Source organism: Homo sapiens, chromosome 6 (genome assembly GCF_000001405.40).
Source record: "Homo sapiens chromosome 6, GRCh38.p14 Primary Assembly".
NCBI classification, from domain to species: domain Eukaryota; kingdom Metazoa; phylum Chordata; class Mammalia; order Primates; family Hominidae; genus Homo; species Homo sapiens.
In genome coordinates, this window is record NC_000006.12 from 34,246,391 (window position 1) to 34,268,214 (window position 21,824).

The window sequence follows — 21,824 nt, forward strand, 5'->3', positions numbered from 1 at the left end:
CCCCTAGCCACAAAACATTTTATTTACAAAATATATACTGAATACTATACATCTGGCCCCATCACCATGGAAACAACTCCAAAGCCTGCCTGGGGATTTGTGCCCAAGCCCAGCCCAGGAGGGCTAGAGAAAGCAAAGGTGTCTACCAGCCGCCCCCATCCCAGAAGGAAAGCCTCTTCCCATGAGTGCCTGTGGGTGGGCGGTGAGCTCAACACCCACAAAGGGCAGAAGGCCTGGGGGCAGTGAGGTGATGGTGAGGGCATGGGAAGCAGATGCTGCTGAGGGTGGGTGGAGGGAGAAATGGAGACCCAGCACCCAGCAGGGGGAGCCAGGTGACAGCAGGGGAAGCAGATGGCAGGGCCCCAGGCAGTCCAGGACCCCAGGCTCTGAAGGGTGGGGCAAGGGGGTCAGGTCACGTCTTGACATCCAGCAGTGGCATCCGCTTGTGCTGGTAGCCACTCTGCCAGCCATGTACCACCTGTCGGGGAGGAGACCACACCACAAGGCTGGGCTGTGTTCCCTGGGAGTCTGCAGCACCCAGTTACAGCCCAAGTAAGCAGAACCAGGCTCTGGTTTCAGTGTGGACGAGTATGGCTGGGAACAGGGCTGACTCCCACCTTGCCTCATTCTCCCCCTGGCCCCCAAGTGCTCACCTTGGGGTCTCCCATGTCAGAGAGCAGCTCCTGCTCAGCCTCATGCAGTTCCTCAGCTGGGTCATAGCTGTACATGGGGAGCAGGTGATGGCGCAGCCGGTCCACCCTGGGGAGCAGGGGAGGGGACTCAGCTAGGAGGTCCCCCCAACCCTCATCAAACACCTGGCTGCCTCGTCTCCTCCCTTTCCCAGGCAGGGGCAATTCCAGTGGGTGCCTTTTGGGACACACTATACCTCCAAGAATACAACCCTGATTCTACAAAGGGGCTTTCCCCAGTGAGTAACCTGAGGCTGGGGCAGGGAAAACAAATTTCAGGCTTGTATCAGGATGGCTGAGGGACATCTTACAGAAAAGTCAGAGCCTATGAGCAGGAATTTCAGAACGGGTGTGGGGTTAGGGCGGGTGGGGGACAGGGACACTCACCGCTTTTTCTTCTGTACATACATTACCTGCAACAGAGACACAGCACTGTGGGGGCTGCTGAGCCCAGGAAGGCCCACAGGCAGAGAGAGGCCCACCTCCACACCCTTCACTCCCTTAACAGGACAGTGGGGACTCTGTGCAGACTGGACCAGGCCCACCCAGCCCCTGCCTTAGCAAAGCTGTGGGTGTCTGTGTGTATATGAGGGCTCCTTACCACAGCCACCACCACCCCGACCAGGGTGATGAGGAAGAAGGGCCCCAACACATAGCCCACCATGGAGTCGCTGTTGGCCTGGGGGGCATTGGGCACAGTGGTGTTACTCATGACATCAGCAGCCGGAGGGCTGGGTGGTCAGCATGGGCAGTGGCGCTTCGGGAGGGCGCCTCCACTGGGCTCCCTGGGAAGGAGGAAGGGAGGTTATCAGTTGCACCCAGGTGACATCCAGACTCTGGATCCCTCCCCCAGAGCTGAAGATCTATGAAAACTGGTCCCAGGTCAAATCCTGGGAGGAGGGATCCTCCAGGTAGATGTACTGGGTGTGACCCTCCAGTGAGTCTTGGCAAATCCTGGCAGGAAAGGGGATCAAGGGAAGGCCTGGATCCAGGGCTGAGTCTTGCCCAACTCCTATCCCTAAATCAGGGTGGGGCCCAGCTCAGATGCTGGCCAAACATTTACAAGTCTCAGCTTCTGGGGAAAGATTAAGTGCAGGTTTCAGGTGCCTGCCCCAGCCCTTTTGGGGCATTGGGCTGCCAGCACCTGTCCAGTGGAGCAAAATGGATAAATGAGGTCTAAAGGAAGGACCTGCACTGCAGCCAGGGGTGAGATGGGAGCATCTGAAGGAGCCCGCTTCCATCCTGGTCCAATCCCACTTCAAGCGATGGGCTCCATGCCTGAGTTCTATGCCCTTGTCCCTGGTGTCACCTCAGACATACAGCCCAAACACCCTCTCCCCCATCTGTCTCGTGTGCCAGGGTGGACACGAGTGGGTAAAGCTGGATTGTATCTTCAAGATGATGTCACCTTCCTCTTGTCTCCACCCGGGGCTCCGCCCAGGTCCCTCCCCTCCTGGCCTGAGCTGACAGGCAGAGGTGGAGAGGGTCAGTCCCCATCGACAGAAGCAAAGAGATCGTCCTGGGGCAGTTTGCACGCTGATGGCCCAAGGTCCGCGACCCAGGTTCGCTTGAGTCTCTATCAGAGGGCAAGGTATGAGCGACCTACCCCCGTGTCCGTAGGGCACGGGGCATCGAGCTTGCCCTTACCCAGTCGTATGCTCATCGTCCCAGGTCAAGGGGGCATGCCAGGGTGGGGAGGGCGTCAGGCCGCTGCTAGGATGCGGGCCAGCAACAGCGGACAGGAGGTGGTTCCCACGGCGCTGGGAGGCTCAGGCCGGAGGTGGGGGTGTTGGGGGATGCGGATGGGCCGCCCCGCGCCCGAACATCCTGGAAGCCCGTCACCCGAGGCGTGGACCCGTGCCGGCGCTCTGCAGCCCAGCCGGCCTGGCCATGCCTTACCTCCCGCCGCTGCAGCCCCGACAGGAACGCCCTCGGTTGGCTCCCGGGCCCCGGAAAAGCCGTCAGGCGCGTGATCAAAGGACCCGGGGAAATGGGCCGGGCCTCAGCACCCGGACGCAGCCAATCCGGTAGCGGAAAGCCGGTGGCCTGGAGATTTCTGGAGCCGCCAATCCGGAGGCGGGGGTGGGCGGTGCGAAGGCGGGGACAGCGGGGCTTGCAGGGTCCGCCCGGCGGCGGCAGGGGGCAGCCGAGGGCTGCGCAGTGGGGGAGGAGAACGCGACGCGGGGCCGGACGGGGTAGGGCGGGGCGCGCGCAGTTTTCCGGCGGCCCCTGGCCCGCCCGCGTCTGGAGCTCCGATTCTGGGAGGTCCCCGGCGCCCACTTCATTCACCCCTCTCGTTGCAGCCAGAATAGGGTCGCGCCACGCTCTAACGTTGAGCCCAGGCCCTTCGCGGCAAGACCCTGCTCCGGGCCCACTCGGCCTCCGTCTGTGTTTGTTCCCTGGCCTTCGGGCTGTGCTCGGCTGGTAGAGTACGGCAGGTCTGGGCTACCGAGGGCCCTGGCACGCCCACCCTCTCTGCGCCTGTCTTAACGTCTGTAAAACAAGCTGTGTGAGGATTATTATTATTACTTTTTTTTTGAGATGGAGTCTGTCTCTGTCGTCCAGGCTGGAGTGCAGTGGCACGATCTCAGCTCACTGCAATCTCTGCCTCCCTGGTTCAAGCTATTCTCTTGCCTCAGCCTCCCGAGTAGCTGGGACTACAGGTGTGCACCACCATGCCTGGCTAATTTTTGTATTTTTAGTAGAGAGGGGGTTTCAACATGTTCGCCAGGATGGTCTCTTAACACCTGACCTCAGGTGATCCACCTGTCTCAGCCTCCTAAAGTGCTGGGATTAGAGGCGTGAGCCACTGGGCCTGGCCGGATTTTACTTTCTTTTCTCCTAAGAGAGAACACCCTTGTGAGCTAGGCAGGGCAAGTGGAGCAATCGCAATTTGCAGATGAGTTAATTGATGCTCAAGCAATGAGATGACTTCTCAGGGCCCTTGGCCTGATCATTAAGGGCAGGGTGGGATGAGATGACAGGTGGGCCTCTCTTCTTGGACAGCTCTCTGCTGACAGCGGCCCCAGAGCTACATTTGAGGCCTGGTGTCTTGCTGTGTTCAGGCTTCATATCTGATGAGAGTACCTCCAAGTATAGCCGGGAAAACTGCAGCTCTGCCTTCCCTCTTCATGCAGCTACCGTTTCAGGAAGCGGGAGGCTAGGGTGGGGTTGAGGCTACATTGTGCTACCATGCTCGAGTTTTGACTGCCTCCTGATCCATGCTGCTGTGGTTAGTGCCTGGACTTGTCTGCCCACTTCAGCTAATGCCTCACTCATCCTCGTGTCCTCCAGCTCTGGATCCACTGAACAAACCATAAAAGCAAGACCTGAAAGGATTGAACTATTTTCAGTTAACTTTTAGAATGAAGCTCAAGAAGATTTATAGGAAGGCAAAAATATCCAGTTTTTATAATATCTGACATCCACTAAAAAATGGAACCTGGTGGCCAGGTGCGGTGGCTCATGCCTGTAATCCTAGCACTTTGGGAGGCCGAGGTGGTGGATCACCTGATGTCAGGAGTTCGAGACCAGCCTGGCCAAAGAGGTGAAACCCCATCTCTACTAAAAATACAAAAATTAGCTGGGCGTGGTGGCAGGAGCTTGTAATTCCAGCTACTCAGGAGACTGAGGCAGGAGAATCACTTGAACCCAGGAGGCAGAGGTTGCAGTGAGCCGAGATCATGCCATTGCACTCCAGTCTGGTGACAAGAGTGAAACTCTGTCTCAAAAATTAAAAAAAAAGGACCCTGGCTGGGTGCTGTGGCTCACACTTGTAATCCCAGCACTTAAGACAAGGAATGTATGAAAATATCCCAGTGATCTTCTAGAGATGAAAACTACAATATCAGATTAAAAAAATCATACTGGACAGGATTAATCACACTGGACAGGATTAATGGCAGGTTAGATATTACAGAAGAAAAGACAAGTGAACTTGAGGGCATAGCAATAGAAACTACCCAAAATAAAACCCAAAGATAAAAAAATCCAAAAAAAAAAAAAAAGAAAAATGAAAAAAGGATCAGTGAGTTGCGGGATAACCGTAAGTGGCCTAATATATGGATAATTAGAGGTCCAAAAGGAGAAGAAAGAAAGGACAGAAAAATATTTGAAGAAACCATGACCAAAAGCTTTCCAAACTTGGGCCAGGCGCAGTGGCTCACTCCTGTAATCCCAGCACTTTGGGAGGCCGAGGCAGGTGTATCACCTGAGGTCAGGAGTTTGAGACCAGCCGGCCAACATGAAGAAACCCCATCTCTACTAAAAATACAAAAATTTGCCAGGCGTGTTGGCACATGCCTGTAATCCCAGCTACTTGGGAGGCTGAGGTAGGAGGATCGCTTGAACCCGGGAGGCAGAGGTTGCAGTGAGCTGAGACTGTGCCATTGTACTCCAGCCTGGGCAACAAGAGCAAAACTCCCGTCTCAAAAAACAAAACAACAACAACAAAAAACTTTCCAAACTTAAAGATGGCTATAAACCTACAGACCCAGGAAGCACAATAAGCCCAAGCACAAGCAACATGAAGAAACTGTGCCAAAGCACATCGTAATCAAATTGCTCAAAGCCAGTGGTAAAGATGTTACACACAGAGGAACAAAGTTAAGAATGGCATAAAATTTCACTTGAAACAATCCAGGTGAAAAGATGGTGGAGCAACATCTTTTATTTTTTTATTTATTTTTATTTTATTTTATTTTTTTTTTTTGAGACAGAGTCTCGCTCTGTCGCCCAGGCTGGAGTGCAGTGGTGCAATCTCAGCTCACTGCAAGCTCCGCCTCCAGGGTTCCCGCCATTCTCCTGCCTCAGGCTCCCGAGTAGCTGGGACTACAGGCACCCACTACCACGCCCTGCTAATTTTTTGTATTTTTAGTAGAGACAGGGTTTCACCGTGTTAGCCAGGATGGTCTCGATCCTCTGATCTCGTGATACGCCCGCCTCGGCCTTGAAAAGTGCTGGGATTACAGGCGTGAGCCACCGCGCCTGGCTAACATCTTTTAACTACTTAAAGAAAAAACTCTCGATCTAGAATATTGGGGAAAAAAAATCTGTCAAAAACAAGAAATAAAGATGTTTTCAGGCCAGGCGTGGTGACTCACGCCTGTAATTCCAGCACTTTGGGAAGCCGAGGCGGGTGGATCACTTGAGCCCAGGAGTTTGAGACCAGCCTGGGCAGCATGGTCAAAGCCTGTCTCTACCAGAAATACAAACATTAGCCAGTCTCATAACCTGGTCTCAAAATAAATAAATAGATAAAAATTAAAACATAAAATTAAAAAATTTTTGAAAACGATGTTTTCAGACATACAAAACTGAAAGGAATCATCACCAGTAGACCTGCACTACAAGAACTGTTAAAGGAAATTCTTCAGGCAGAAAGGTAATTGTACCAAATAAAAATATGATCCCACAAGAGAAAGAAAGAGCATCCAAATCGGTAAAGAGGAAGTCATACTGTCACTGTTTGCCGATGATATGATCTTTGACAAAGCAAACAAAAACATAAAGTGGGGAAAGCACACCCTATTCAACAAATGGTGCTGGGATAATTGGCAAGCCACATGTAGGAGAATGAAACTGGATCCTCATCTCTCACCTTATACAAAAATCAACTCAAGATGGATCAAAGATGTAAATCTAAGACCTAAAACCATAAAAATTCTAGAAGATAACATCAGAAAATCCCCTCTAGACATTGGCTTAGGCAAAGACTTCATGACCAAGAACCCAAAAGCAGATTCAACAAAAGCAAAGATAAATAGATGGGATTAATTAAACTAAATAGCTTCTGCACAGCAAAAGAAATAATCAGCAAACAGACAACCCACAGAATGGGAGAAAATCTTCACAATCTATACATCTAACAAAGGACTAATATCCAGATTCTACAAGGAACTGAAACAAATCAGCGAGAAAAAACCAAACAATCTCATCAAAAAGTAGGCTAAGGAATGAATAGACAATTCTCAAGAAAAAGATATGCAAGTGGCCAACAAACATGAAAAAATGCTCAACATCACTAATGATCAGGGAAATGCAAATCAAAACCACAATGTGATACCACCTTACTCCTGCAAGATGGCCATAATTTTAAAAATCAAAAAGTAGGCTGGGCATGGTGGCTCATGTCTGTAATCCCAGCACTTTGGGAGGCCAAGGCGAGCAGATCATGAGGTCAGGAGATCGAAACCACCCTGGCTAACCCAATGAAACCCCGTCTCTACTAAAAATACAAAAAATTAGCCGGGTGTGGTGGCATGCCCCTGTAATCCCAGCTACTTGGGAGGCTGAGGCAGGAGAATCACTTGAACCTGGGAGGTGGAGGTTGCAGTGAACTGAGATCGTGCCACTGCACTCCAGCCTGGGCGACAGAGTGAGACTGACTCTGCCTCAAAAAAAAAAAAAAAAAAAAAGAAAGAAACACAATAGATATTGGCATGGATGTGGTGAAAAGGGAACACTTTTACGCTGCTGGTGGGAATGTAAACTAGTACGACCACTGTGGAAAACAGTGTGGATATTCCTTAAATAACTAAAAGTAGATCTACCATTTGATTGAGCAATCCCACTACTGGGTATCTACCCAGAGTAAAAGAAGTCATTATATGAAAAAAAGACACTTGCAGCTGGGCTCAGTGGCTCAGCACTTTGTAGTCCCAGCACTTTGGGAGGCCGAGGTGGACGGATCACCTAAGGTCGGGAGTTTGAGACCAGCCTGGCCAACATGGTGAAACCCCGTCTCTACTAAAACTACAAAAATTAGCTGGGCGTGATGGCACACACCTGTAGTCCCAGCTACTTTGGAGGCTGAGGCACGAGAATCGCTTGAACCCAAGAGGTGGAGGTTGCAATGAGCCGAGATCACGCCACTGCACTCCACTCCAGCCTGGGCAAAAGAATAAGACAGAGCGAGAACTTGTCTCAACAAAAAAAAGAAAAAGAAAGAAGACACTTGCACACACATGTTTATAGCAGCACAATTCGGAATTGCCAAAATATGGAACCAGCCCAAATGCCCATCAATGAATGAGTGAATAAAGAAAATGTGATATATATACATACCATGGAATACTATTTTATATATATATATATATATATATATATATATATATATATATATATATATATATACACACACCATGGAATACTACTCAGCCATAAAAAGGAATGAAATAATAGGATTTGCAGCAACCTGGATGGAGTTGGAGACCATTATTCTAAGTGAAGTAACTCAGAAATGGAAAACCAAACACCATATGTTCTCACTTGTAAGTAGGAGCTAAGCCATGAGGATGCAAAGGCATAAGAATGATACAGTGGACTTGGAGGACTTGGGGGAAAGGATGGGAGGGGGGTGAGGGATAAAAGACTACACATCGGGTACAGTGTACACGACTCAGGGGATGGGTGCACCAGAATCTCAGAAATCACTACTAAAGAACTTACCAAACACCACCTGTTCCCCAAAAACCTACTGAAAAAAAAAATTCAAAAAAAATATGGACCTATCCAAAGGAATGAAGAATACTGAAAATGGTAGCTATGTGAGTATGTATATATGTAAATATATATATATGTGTCAGTATGTATATATGTACAAACATATATGCACATATATTCCACACACATATACACATATATTCCCTCCACCACCACCATTTTTCTTTGTTTGCTTTTATTTATTTATTTTTTTGAGACAGAGTTTCACTCTTGTTGCCCAGGCTGGAGTGCAATGGCGCGATCTCGGCTCACTGCAACCTCCGCCTCCCAGGTTCAAGCGATTCTCCTGCCTCAGCCTCCTGAGTAACTAGGATTACAGGCACCCACCACCACGCCCGGCTAATTTTTGTATTTTTCGTGGAGATGGGGTTTCACCTTGGCCAGGCTAGTCTCAAACTCCTGACCTCAGGTGACCCACCCGCCTCAGCCACGCAAAGTGCTGGGATTACAGGCATGAGCCACCATGCCTGGCCTGTTTGTTTTTAGAGACCAGTTCCCCCTATGTTGCCTAGGCTGGTCTAGAACTCCTTGGTTCAAGCAATCCTCATGCCTCAGCCTCCCAAGTAGCTGGGATTACAGAAGCATGTCACTGTGCCCGGCTTGCCCCATCTGTTAGTTAAATCTTTTTAAAGAGGTAATTGAGGCCAGGTACGTTGGCTCACACCTGTAATCCCAACACTTTGGGAGGCCAAGGCAGGCCAATCACCTGAGGTAAGGAATTTGAGACCAGCCTGGCTAACATGGCGAAACCCCGTCTTTACTAAAAATAGCCGGGTGTGGTGGCACGCACCTGTAGTCCCAGCTACTCGGGGAGACTGAGGCAGGAGAATCGCTTGAACCCAGGAGACGAAGGTTAAAGTGAGCCGAGATTGTACCACTGCATTCCACCCTGGAAGACAGAGCAAGACTCCATCTCAAAAAAAGAAAAAAAAAAGTAATCGATTGTAAAAAACAAAACAAAAAGCCCAATACTGTATTGTGGGACTTTTGCACATGGAACATTTATCAAGACAGACCATATTCTGAGCCATAAAACAAGTCTCAGCCAGGCGTGGTGGCTCACGCCTGTAATCCCAGCACTTTGGGAGGCCAAGGCGGGTGGATCACCTGATGTCAGGAGTTCCAGACTAGCCTGGCCAACATGGTGAAACCTCGTCTCTACTAAAAATGCAAAAATTAGCCAGGTGTGGTGGCACATGCATGTGATTCCAGCTACTTGGGAGCTGAGGCAGGAGAATCACTTGAACCCGGGAGGCGGAGGTTGCAGTGAGAAGAGATCATGCCACTGCACTACAGCCTGGGTGACAAGAGTGAAACTCTGTCTCAAACAAAACAAAACAAAAAACAAGTCTCGATAAATATAAAGGATTCAATTTAATGTATTACTTTAATAGCATAAAGGTTGGGAAAGAAATGGGAATATACTACTGTATTCATATATATATGAGGTTGTATAATATCACTTAATGATAGACTGTGGTGAGTTAATGATGTATAGTATGAACCCTAAAGTAACTAATAAAGTAACAGAGTTATAGATACCAACAAAGAAAATAAAGTGGATATAAAATAAGAAATCTAAAAAAAAAAAAAAAGCAGAAAAAGAGGAACAGGGGAACCAAGAACAGATAAGATAATTAGAAAACAAATAACAAAGGCCGGCACGGTGGCTCACGCTGTAATCCCAGCACTTTGGGAGGCCAAGGCGGGTGGATCACCTGAGATCAAGAGTTCGAGACCAGCCTGGCCAACAGGGAGAAACCCCGTCTCTACTAAAAATACAAAAATTAGCCAGGCATGGTGGCAGGTGCCTGTAATCCCAGCTACTTGGGAGGCTGAGGCAGGAGAATCACTTAAAACCGGGAGGCAGAGGTTGCAGTGAGCCAAGATCATGCCACTGCCCTTCAGCCTTGGCAACAGAGCAAGACTCCATCTCCAAACAAACAAACCAAAAAACAAAACAAAACAAAACAAAAACAAGGCCGGGCATGGTGGCTCATGCCTGTAATCCCAGCACTTTGGGAGGCAGAGGCGGGAGGATCATGAGGTCAGGAGATCAAGACCATCCTGGCTAACACGGTGAAACCCCGTCTTTACTAAAAATACAAAAAATTAGCCGGGCATGTCGGCATGTGCCTGTAGTCCCAGCTACTCAGGAGGCTGAGGCAGGAGAAGGGCATCAACCCGGGAGGCGGAGGTTGCAGTGAGCAGAGATTGCGCCATTGCACTCCAGCCTAGGCAACAGAGCGAGACTCCGTCTAAAAGAAAAAAAAAATAGCAGGATGATAAAATGAAACATACTATATCAATCATTACATTAAAAGTAAATGGGGGCCAGGCACGGTGGCTCACTCCTGTAATCCCAGCACTGCGAGGCCGAGGCGAGCGCATCACGAGGTCAGGAGATTGAGACCATCCTGGCTAACACAGTGAAACCCAGGCTCTACTAAAAATACACAAAAAATTAGCAGGGCATGGAGGTGGGCGCCTGTATTCCCAGCTGCTCGGGAGGCTGAAGCAGGAGAATGGCGTGAACCCAGGAGGCAGAGCTTGCAGTGAGCCGAGATCTTGTCACTGCACTCCAGCCTGGGCGACACAGCAAGACTCTGTCTCAAAAAAAAAAAAAAAAGTAAATGGGAGCCGGGCACGGTGGCTCACGCTTGTAATCCCAGCACTTTGTGAGGCCGAGGTGGGCGGATCACGAGGTCAAGAGTTTGAGACCAGCCTGGCCAACACAGTGAAACCCTGTCTCTACTAAAAATACAAAAATTACCTGGGCGTGGTGGCACACGCCTGTAATCCCAGCTACTCGGGAGGCTGAGGCAGGAGTATCGTTTGAACCCAGGAGGCAGAGGTTGCAGTGAGCCAAGATCACACCACTGCACTCCAGCCTGGGTGACAGAACTAGACTCCGTCTCAAAAAAAAAAAAAAAAAAAAAAAAAAAAAAGGCCGGGCGCGGTGGCTCAAGCCTGTAATCCCAGCACTTTGGGAGGCCGAGGCAGGCAGATCACGAGGTCAGGAGATCGAGACCATCCTGGCTAACACGGTGAAACCCCGTCTCTACTAAAAATACAAAAAATTAGCCAGGCACGGTGGCGGGCGCCTGTAGACCCAGCTACTCGGGAGGCTGAGGCAAGAGAATGGCGTGAACCCGGGAGGCGGAGTTTGCAGTGAGCCAAGATAGCGCCACTGCACTCCGGCCTGGGCGAAAGAGCGAGACTCCGTCTCAAAAAAAAAAATAATAATAATAAAGTAAATGGGAGGCTAGGCGTGGTGGCATTTGCCTATAATCCAAGAACTTGGAGTGGCTGAGGTGGGAGATTTGCTTGAGCCCAGGAGCTCAAGACAAGCCTGGGCAACATAGGAAGACCCTGTCTCTACCAAAAAAAAAAAAAAAAAAAAAAAGCCCAGCGTGGTAGCACATGCCTGTAATCCTAGATACCTGGAGGCTAAGTTGGGAGGATCACTTAAGGCCAGGTGGTTGAGGCTGCAGTGAGCTGTGACTGCACCACTGCACTGCAGCCTGGGTAGCAGAGTGAGACTCTGTCTCAAGAAAAATAATAATGATAATAAAGTAAATGGTTTAAACAACCTATTTAAATATCAGAGATTTTTAGACTGGATAAAAAAGCAAGATTCAATATATGCTGCCCACAAGAATGCATTTATTTATTTATTTATTTTGAGACGGAGTCTCGCCCTGTCACCCAGGCTGGAGTGCAGTGGCACGATCTTAGCTTACTGCAAGCTCCGCCTCCTGGGTTCACGCCATTCTCCTGCCTCAGCCTCCCAAGTAGCTGGGCCTACAGGTGCCCGCCAACACGCCCGGCTAATTTTTTGTATTTTTAGTAGAGACGGGGTTTCTATATATATATTATATATTATATAATCTATTATATATCTATTATATATTATATAATCTATTATATATCTATTATATATTATATAATCTATTATATATCTATTATATATTATATAATCTATTATATATATTATATATAATATAGATATATATAATTATATATATAATTACATATATATATAGCCATCTCAAAAAAAAGGTTAAAATGGTAAATTTTATATTTTATATATATACACATATATACATGTATACATATATGTGTGTGTGTGTGTGTGTGTGTGTGTGTGTGTATATATATATATATTTTTTTTTTTTTTGAGACAGAGTCTTACTCTGTCATCCAGGCTGGAGTACAGTGACATGATCTCAGCTCACTGCAACCTCTGCCTCCTGGGTTCAAGCAATTCTCGTGCCTCAGCCTCCTGAGTAGCTGGGATTACAGGCACGCACCACCACGCCTGGCTAATTTTTGTATTTTTAGTAGAGATGGGGTTTCTCCATGTTGGCCAGCCTGGTCGCAAACTCCTGACCTTAAGTGATGCACCCACTTCGGCCTTCCAAAGTGCTGTGATTACAGGCATGAGCGACCATGTTTGGCCTATTATTTATATTTTACCACTCAGAATATAAGACAGAGATTGGCAGAATGGATTTTAAAATGATCCAACTACTCTTGAACAGACATTTATCCAAAGAAGAAAGACAAATGGCAAATAAGCAAATAAAAATATGTTCAACATCACTAATAATTAGGGAAATGCAAATCAGAACCACAATGGGTCAGGCATGTTAGTTCATGCCTGTAATTCCAGTATTTTGGGAAGCTGAGATGGGAGGATTGCTTGAGCCCAGGAGTTCAAGATCAGCCTGGGCAACGTTGTGAGACGCCCATCTCTACCAGAAAAAAAAAAAAAAAAAATCAGAACCACAATGAGATACCACTTCATACCCGTTAGGATGGATATTTTCTAAATAATACATTTTTTAAATAATATATTTTAAAAAAACAGAAAAAGTGTTCATGAGCATGTGAAGAAATTACAACCCTTGTACCCTGCTGGTGGGAATGTAAAGAGATGCAGCCACTAAGGAAAACAGTATGGAAGTTCCTCAAAAAATTAAAAATAAGCCAGGCGTTATGGTATGTGCCTGTAGTCCCAGCTACTTGGGAGGCTGACGTAGGAGAATTGCTTGAGCTCAGGAGTTTGAAACCAGCCTGGACAACATGGGAAGACCCCGTCTTTAAAAAAAAAAAAAAATAGAATTACCATATGACTCAGCAATTACACTTTTTTGGATATTGTATTAGTTCATTTTCATGCTGCTGATAAAGCCATACCCAAGACTGGGAAGAAAAAGAGATTTAATTGGACTTACAGTTCCACATGCCTGGGGAGGCCTCAGCATCACGGTAGGAGGCAAAAGGCACTTCTTACATGGTGGCGGCAAGAGAAAAATGGGAAGAAGCAAAAGAGGAAACCCCTGATAAACCCATCAGATCATGTGAGACTTATTCACTATCATGAGAATAGCACGGCAAAGACCAGCCCCCATGATTCAATTATCTCCCCTGGGATCCTCCCACAACACATGGGAATTCTGGGAGATACAATTCAAGTTGATATTTGGGTGGGGACACAGCCACACCATATCATTCTGCCCCTGGCCCCTCCAAATCTCATGTCCTCACATTTCAAAACCAATCATGGCTTTCCAACAGTGCCTGAAAGTCTTTTTTTGTTTTTTTGTGTTTTTTTGAGACGGAGTCTTGCTCTGTCACACAGGCTGGAGTGCAGTGGCACGATCTCAGCTCACTGCAAGCTTCGCCTCCCAGGTTCACGCCATTCTCCTGCCTCAGCCTCTGGGGTAGCTGGGACTAGAGGCGCCCGCCACTACGCTCAGCTAATTTTTTGTATTTTTTTGTTTTTATTAGAGACGGGGTTTTACCGTGTAAGCCAGGATGGTCTTGATCTCCTGACCTCGTGATCCGCCCGCCTCGGCCTCCCAAAGTGCTGGGATTACAGGTGTGAGCCACAGCGCCGGGTCTCAAAGTCTTAACTCTTTTCAGCATTAACCCAAAAGTCCACAGTTCAAAGCCTCATCTGAGACAAGGCAAGTCCCTTCCACCTATGAGCCTATAAAATCAAAAGCAAGCTAACTACTTCCTAGATACAATGGGGTTCACAGGTATTGGGTAAATACAGCTGTTCCAATTGGGAGAAATTGGCCAAAACAAACGGGTTACAGGGCGCATGCAAGTCTGAAATCCAGCAGGACAGTCAAATTTTAAAACTCCAAAATGATGTCCTTTGACTTCAGGTCTCATATGCAGGTCACGCTGATGCAAGATAGGGGTGCCCACGGTCTTGGGCAGCTCCGCCTCTGTGGCTTTGCAGGGTACAGCCTCCTGCTGCTGCTTTCACAGGCTGTCGTTGAGTGTCTGTGTCTTTTCCAGGTCCACGGTGCAAGCTGTAGGTGGATCTACCATTCTGGGGTCTGGAGGATGGTGGCCCTCTTCTCACAGCTTCACTAGGCAGAGCCCCAGGAAGGACTCTGTGTGGGGGCGCCGACCCCACATTTCCCTTCCACACTGCCTTAGCAGAGGTTCTCCATGAGGGCCCCGCCCCTGCAGCAAACGAATCAGATCTTGTGAGACTTATTCACTATCGCGAGAATAGCATGGGCAAGACCGGCCCCATGATTCAATTACCTCTCTCTGGGCCTCTCCCACATCACGTGGGAATTCTGGACGATACAATTCAAGTTGAGATTTGGGTGGGAACACAGCCAAACCGTATCTGATATTATCCCAAAGAAGTGAAAGCAGGGATTTGAACAGATATTTGTACACCCATGTTCACAGCATTCACAACAGCCAAAAGGTGGAAGCAACCCAAGTGCTCATCAACAATTGAATGAATAAACAAACTGTGGTATATACATACAATGGAATATTTTATTCAGCCTTCAAAAAGAATGAAATTCTCACACATGCTACAACAGAAATGAACCTGGAAGACAGTATGCTAAATGAAATAAGCCAATCAAAAAAAGAACAAAAACTGTATGATTCCACTCATATGAGGTACCTAGAATAACCAAATTCATAGAAAGAATAGGACTTTCCAGGGACTAGGAGGAGAGGAGAATGAGAGTTATTGTTAAATGTGTACAGAGTTTCAGTTTGGGAAGAGGAAAAAGGTTCCGGAAATTGATGGTGGCAATAGTTGTAAAGTGTGAATGTACTTAATGCCACTGAAATGTAGACTGAAAAATGGTTGAAATGTTTATTTTATTTATTTATTTATAGATGGAGTCTCGCTCTGTTGCCCAGGCTGGAGTGCAGTGGCGTGACCTTGGCTCATTGTAACCTCCGCCTCCTGGGTTCAAATGATTCTCCTGCCTCAGCCACCTGAGTAGCTGGGATTACAGGCATGGGCCACCATACCCACCTAATTTTTGTATTTTTTTAGTAGAGACAGGCTTTCACCATGTTGGTCAGGCTGGTCTCGAACTCCTGACCTCATGATCTGCCTACCTTGGCCTCCCGAAGTGCTGGGATTACAGGCATGAGCCACCACGCCTAGCCAGAAATGTTTTTTTTTTTTTTTTAATTTATTTTACTTTAGTTTTTGAGATGGAGTCTCGCTCTGTTGAAAAAAACAGAAAAAAGTGTTTTTTCTGAGCCACGATGCCCAGCCTTGAAACGGTTTTTAAAATCCAAGTGGCTGGGCGTGGTGGCTCAGGCCTGTAATCCCAGCACTTTGGGAGGCCGAGGTGGGTGGATCACCTGATGTCAGGAGTTCAACACCAGCCTTATCAACATGGTGAAACCCTGTCTCTACTAAAAACACAAAAATGAGCAAGGCATGGTGGCACGTGCCTGTAATCCCAGCTACTAAGGAGGCTGAGGCAGGAGAATCACTTGAACCAGGGAGTCAGAGGTTGCAGTGAGCCGAAATCATGCCACTGCACTCCAGCCTGGCGACAGAGCGAGACTCTGTCTCAAAAAAAAAAAAAGAAAAGAAAATCCAAGTACATTAAGTATATGCTATTTATAAGAAACTTTAGGCCGGGTGCGGTGGCTCACGCCTGTAATCCCAGCACTTTGGGAGGCCGAGGTGGGTGGATCACGAGGTCAGGAGATTGAGATCATCCTGGCTAACACGGTGAAACCCCGTCTCTACCAAAAATACAAAAAATTAGCCAGGCGTGGTGGCGGGCGCCTGTAGTCCCAGCTACTCAGGAGGCTGAGGCAGGAGAATGGTGTGAACCCAGGAGGTGGAGCTTGAGAGGCAAGAGAATGGCGTGAACCCGGGAGGTGGAGCTTGCAGTGAGCCGAGATAGCGCCACTGCACTCCAGCCTGGGTGACAGAGCAAGACTCTGCCTCAAAAAAAAAAAAAAAAAAGAAACTTACTTTAGACTCAAAGACACAAATAAATTGAAAGTGGAAGGATGGGAAAGGTATCCCATGAAGAGTGTAAAGAGAGCAAAAATGGCTATACTAATATTAGACAAAATCGATTTTAAGTAAAAAAGTGTTACACAAGATAAAGGAAGACATTTTATAATGATAAAGGAGTCAATTCATCAAGAAGATACGGCAAGTATAATAACATACATGTTGAACAACAGAGTCCCATAATATATGAAGCAAGTATTGGCAGAGTTGGGGGCAGAAATAGTTTTTAAAAAAGAAAGATATTTAATTTTTAAGAGAATATGGCACAACTGAAATTCTCATGCATCACTGGTAGTGGTGTGGCATGGTACAACCACTTTGGAAAACTGTTTAGAATTTTCTTATAGATTTTTTTTTTTTTTCTCAGCCAGGCGTGCTTTATGGACAATGCGCTCCTCAGGCCTTGACCGCGTACTTCCCCAGCGGGTACAGCCGCTCCTTCCGCTGCTGCTTCTTGGTCTTCGGGTTCTCCTCATGCTTGTTGAGCCGGCGGCGCATGGCGCGTGTCTTCTTAGGCCGCAGGTCCAGGGGCTTGTAGTTCCTGCCCTTGTAGAATTTCCTGAGGTTTTCTTTCTGAGTCTAGTTAATAACAGTGAGAACACAGGCAATGGATTTGCGGACGACTCGGATCTTAGAGAGCTTGGAGGCCGCACCGCCTGTCACTTTGGCGACGCGCAGCTGGGACAGCTCCACCTTCAGGTCGTCCAGCTGTTTCAGCAGCTCCTCCTTCTTCCCGCGAAGATCTCGAGCCTTGATCTTGGCCATTGCTGCACAGGCCGCCGACGCCGCCGCGCCGCCCGCTCCGAGGGAAAGAGCGTAGATTCAAATATAAACTTACCTAATGATACGGCAAGTACATGCCCAGAAAAAAATGAAAATATATGTCTTCAACAAATGTGTACAAAAATATTTATAGCAGATTATTATTTTTTGAGACAGGGTCTCACTCTGTCACTCAGGCTGGAATGCAGTGGCGCTGTCTTGGCTCACTGCAGCCTTCGCGGCCTGGGCTCATGTGATCCTCCCATCTTCACTTCCTTGAGTAGGTGGGATTACAGGTGTGTGCCACCATGCTTGGCTAATTAAAAAAAAAAAATTGTAGAGGTGAAGTCTCACTATATTGCCTAAGCCAGTCTAGAACTCTTGGATTCAAGTGATCCTCCCACCTTGGACTCCCAAAGTGCTGGGATTACAGGCGTGCACCATGGCGCCTGGCCTGTAGCAGCATTATTTTATTTAGTTACTATTTAAAATTTTTAATTTTTGACAAATTATAATTTTACATCTTTAAGGGGTACAAAGTGATATTATTATATATGTTTATAGTTTGGAATTATTGAATCAAGCGAATTACATATCCATGTCCTTAAATACTTACCATTTATTCCTCCTGTCTAACTGCAACTTTATACAATTTGACCAACATCTCTCCATTCCCCCTACGCGTGGCCTCTGGTAACCACCAATATACTCTTTGCTTCTTTTTTTTTTGAGATGGAGTCTCGCTCTGTCGCCCAGACTGGAGTGCAGTGGCGCGATCTTGTCTCAGCCTCCCGAGTAGCTGGGATTACAGGCGCCCGCCACCGCACCCAGCTAATTTTTTGTATTTTTTAGTAGAGACAGGGTTTCACCATGTTAGCCAGGATGGTCTCGATTTCCTGACCTCGTGATCCAGCCGCCTCGGCCTCCCAAAGTGCTGGGATTACAGGCGTGAGCCACTGCGCCTGGCCAATATACTCTTCACTTCTATGAGTTTGATTGTTTTATTTTCCACATACATAGGAACATGAGGTATTTGTTTAGAAATAGTTCAATAGTAGTTGGAGACTTCAATCCCCTACTCTCAATGGGTGGAATACATTCCTACAGAGATGATCAATAAGGAAACATAGGACTTGAAAACCAGTATAAACCATGCCGGGTGTGGTGGCTCATGCCTCCAATCCCAGCACTTTGGGAGGCAGAGGCAGGTGATCTCCTGAGGTCGGGAGTTCGAGACCAGCTGGACCAACATGGAGAAACCTCGTCTCTAAATACAAAATTAGCCGGGCATGGTGGTACATGCCTGTAATCCCAGCTACTCGGGAGACTGAGGCAGGAGAATCGCTTGAACCTGGGAGGCGGAGGTTGCAGTGAGCTGAGATCGCTCCAGCCTGGGCAACGAGAGTGAAACTGTCTTAAAAAAAAAAAAAAAGAAAGAAAAGAAAACCAGTATAAACCAACTAGACCTAACAGACATATACAAAACCCTCCACTCAGCAACAGCAGACTATACAGTATCCTCAAGGGCACATGGAACACACTCCCAGATAGACGATATGTTAGGCCACAAAACAGATCTTAATAAACGTAAAAACCTTCCAACAAAGAAAAGCCCAGAATTAGATGGCTTCACTGGTCAATTTTTTTTTGTAACCAAACATCTAAAGGAGAATTAATACCAATCTTTCCTAAACTCTTCCAAAAAATTGAGAGGAGAGAATATTTTCTAACTCATTCTGACTCAGTTTTTCCCTGATATCAAAAGCAGACAAAGGTGCAAAAGAAAACTACAGGCCAAAATCCCTTACTAACATAGGTGTTAGCCCATGGAAGAATTCTCAATTAATTTCAAAGGACTAAACTCATACAAAGTACTTTCTCTGACCACAGTGGAATGAAGCTAGAAATCAAATGTGGAAGAAAAACTGGAAAATTTGCAAATATGTGGAAAGTAAACCACACACTCTTAAACCAGCAAGTCAAAGAAGAAACCACTAGGGAAATATAAGATATTTTTAGACCAATGAAAACATACCAAAACTGATGGGATGTAGTAAAGGCAGTACTCAGAGGAAAATTTATAGCTGTAAATGCCTAAAGATCTCAAATCAACAACCTAGCTTTACACCTTAAGGAATTAGAAAAAGAAGAGCAAACAAAACCTAAACCCAGCAGAAGGATAGAAACAATAAAGATTAGATAACAGATAAATGATGTAGAGAATTTTTAAAAGTAGAATTGGCCAAGCTCAATGGCTCACGCCTGTAATCCCAGCACTTTGGGAGGCTGAGGCAGGTAGATTACCTGAGGTCAGCAGTTCGAGACCAGCCTGACCAATATGGTGAAACCCTGTCTCTACTAAAGATACAAAGAAGTTAGCTGGGTGTGGTGGCACGCGCCTGTAGTCCCAGCTACTCTGGAGGCTGAGACAGGAGAACTGCTTGAACCTGGGAGGCGGAGGTTGCAGTGAGCCGAGATCGTACCACTGCACTCCACCCTGGGCGACAGAGTGAGACTCCGTCAAAAAAAAAAGTAGAATCAGTAAAACCAAAGTTGGTTCTTTGAAAAGACCCAAGAAAAATTAAAACTTTAGACTAAGAAAAAGAGAGAGAAGACGCAAATACCTAAAATCAGAAATAAATGCAGAAATATTGCTACTGACCTTACGGAAATTAAGAGGATTATAAGCAAATACTATGAACAATTGTATGCCAACAAATAAAATAATCTGGATGAAATGGAAAAATTCCTAGAAACACACAAATTATCTAAACTGACTCAAGAAGAAATAAAAAATCTCAACAGACCTATAATAAAAGATAGAATCCGTACTCAAAAATCTCCCAACAGCTGGGCACGATGGCTTATGCCTATAATTCCAGCATTTTGGAAGACCAAGGCGGCTGGATCACCTGAGGTCAGGAGTTCAAGACCAGCCTGGCCAACATGGTGAAACCTCATCTGTACTAAAAATACAAAATTAGCCAGGCGTGGTGGTGCATGCCTGTAATCCCAGCTACTAGGGAGGTTGAGGCAGGAGAATCACTTGAACCCCGGAGGTGGAGCTTGCAGAGAGCTGAGATGGTGCCACTGCACTCACTCCAGCCTGGGCAACAAGAACTAAACTCTGTCTCAAAAAAAAAAAAATCTCCCAACAAAGAAAAGTCCAGGATCAGGTTGGCTTCATTGGCCAGTTCTATCAAACATTTAAAGAAAAATTAAGGGCTGGGCGCAGTGGCTCACGCCTGTAATCCTAGCACTTCGGGAGGCTGAGGTGGGTGGATCACGAGGTCAAGAGATCAAGACTATCCTGACCAACATGGTGAAACCCCATCTCTACTAAAAATACCAACAAAATTCAGCTGGGTGTGGTGGCACATGCCTGTAGTTTCAGCCACTCGGGAGGCTGAGGCAGGAGAATCACATGAACCTGGGAGGCAGAGGTTGCAGTGACCCGAGATTGTGCCACTGCACTCCAGCCTGGTGACAGAACGAGACTCCATCTCAAAAAAAAAGAGAAAAAGAAAAATTAAGGCTAGGTGCAGTAGCACATGCTTGTAATATTGACACTTTGGGAAGCCAAGGTAGGAGGATTGTTTGAACCCAGGAATTTAAGGTTACAGTGAGCTATGATCACACCACTGTACTCCAGTCTAGTTGACAGAGAGAGACTTTGTCTCAAAAAAAGAAAAAAAGTAGGTGGGGTCCAGTGGCTCATGCCTGTAATCCCAGCACTTTGGGAGGCCGAGGCGGGTGGATCACCTGTGGTCAGGAGTTTGAGACCAGCCTGGCTAACCAACATGGTGAAAACCTGACTCTACTAAAAGTACAAAAATTAGCTGGGTGTGGTGGCTCATGCCTGTAATCCCAGCTACTTGAGAGGCTGAGGTGGGAGAATCGCTTGAACCCGGGAGGCAGAGATTGCGCCACTGCACTCCAGTCTGGGAGACAAAGCGAGACTCCACAAGAAAAAAAAAAGAAAAAAAGAAAAGAAAAAAAAAAAGAATGGATACCAACCCTACACAGCCTCTTGCAAAAATTGAAGAGGATCCACTTCCTAACACATTCTATTAGGCCAGCATTACCTTGATACCAAAGCCAGAGAAAGAGTCCACAAGAAATTGATAGACCAATATTCCTTATGAATATAGATATAAAAATCCTCAACAAGCACCTATAGTCCTAGCCACTCAGGAGGCTGAGGCAGCAGAATCCCTTGAGCCCAGAAGTTCAAGGCTGCAGTGAGCTGATTGTACCACTGTACTCCAGCCTGGGCAACAGAGTGAGACACTGTCTGCAATCAATCAATCAATCAATAAAATAAAAATTTTTTTAGCCAGGTGTGGTGGCCCATGCCTGTAGTCCTAGCCGCTTGGGACACTGAGCCAAGACAGTTGTTTGAGGCTGGGTGTGGCGCCTCATGCTTGTAATCCCAGCACTTTGCCAGGCTGAGAGGGGAGAATCACTTGAGCTCAGGAGTTTAAGACCAGCCTGGGCAACATGGTGAGACCCCATCTCTACAGAAAATACAAAAAATTAGCTGG

The 21,824-nt window shown here is 46.9% G+C and overlaps 1 protein-coding gene, 1 long non-coding RNA gene and 1 pseudogene across 8 annotated transcripts, besides 2 other annotated features; 1 reads left to right on the forward strand and 2 right to left on the reverse strand.

Moving 5' to 3' along the window:
- On the reverse strand, positions 5–2,616 carry SMIM29 (small integral membrane protein 29). Of its 6 annotated transcripts, none has more exons than NM_001008704.4 (5): positions 2,589–2,616; positions 1,351–1,474; positions 1,077–1,102; positions 654–759; positions 5–478 (listed from the first exon to the last, which is right to left on the reverse strand). In NM_001008704.4, exons 2-5 carry the CDS (start codon positions 1,399–1,401, stop codon positions 413–415), a joined length of 249 nt encoding a protein of 82 aa, NP_001008704.2. In that variant the 5' UTR covers positions 1,402–1,474; positions 2,589–2,616; the 3' UTR covers positions 5–412. The 6 variants fall into 6 exon arrangements, 4 of the variants coding, with proteins under 4 accessions (NP_001008704.2, NP_001008703.2, NP_001274325.2 ...); NM_001008703.4 differs by having other exon boundaries at positions 1,291–1,474; NM_001287396.3 differs by having other exon boundaries at positions 2,337–2,616.
- Positions 2,178–17,621, forward strand: SMIM29-AS1 (SMIM29 antisense RNA 1). 2 transcript variants are annotated; one of them, NR_199000.1, is made up of 3 exons: positions 2,178–2,280; positions 13,989–14,079; positions 16,886–17,621. It is a non-coding gene; the product is annotated as an SMIM29 antisense RNA 1 (long non-coding RNA). The 2 variants fall into 2 exon arrangements; NR_199001.1 differs by lacking the exon at positions 13,989–14,079.
- Positions 2,466–2,535: a silencer, noted in NCBI's record as "silent region_17070". NCBI's record gives its function as "represses an Ori minimal core promoter by ATAC-STARR-seq in GM12878 lymphoblastoid cells {active_cell/tissue: GM12878}" and the evidence as "EXISTENCE:reporter gene assay evidence [ECO:0000049][PMID:35858748]".
- Positions 2,716–2,925: a silencer, noted in NCBI's record as "silent region_17071". NCBI's record gives its function as "represses an Ori minimal core promoter by ATAC-STARR-seq in GM12878 lymphoblastoid cells {active_cell/tissue: GM12878}" and the evidence as "EXISTENCE:reporter gene assay evidence [ECO:0000049][PMID:35858748]".
- On the reverse strand, positions 16,880–17,333 carry RPL35P2 (ribosomal protein L35 pseudogene 2; annotated as a pseudogene).
- Positions 17,622–21,824: the final 4,203 nt, after the last annotated feature.

Coding starts and splice junctions, on each gene's coding strand:
- SMIM29 (NM_001008703.4), bottom strand. CDS start 1,401: ATGAGTAACACCACTGTGCCCAATGCCCCCCAGGCCAACAGCGACTCC. Junction 760..1,076: donor TATGTACAGAAGAAAAAGCG/GTGAGTGTCCCT, acceptor CCTGCTCCCCAG/GGTGGACCGGCTGCGCCATC. Junction 479..653: donor CTGACATGGGAGACCCCAAG/GTGAGCACTTGG, acceptor CCTCCCCGACAG/GTGGTACATGGCTGGCAGAG.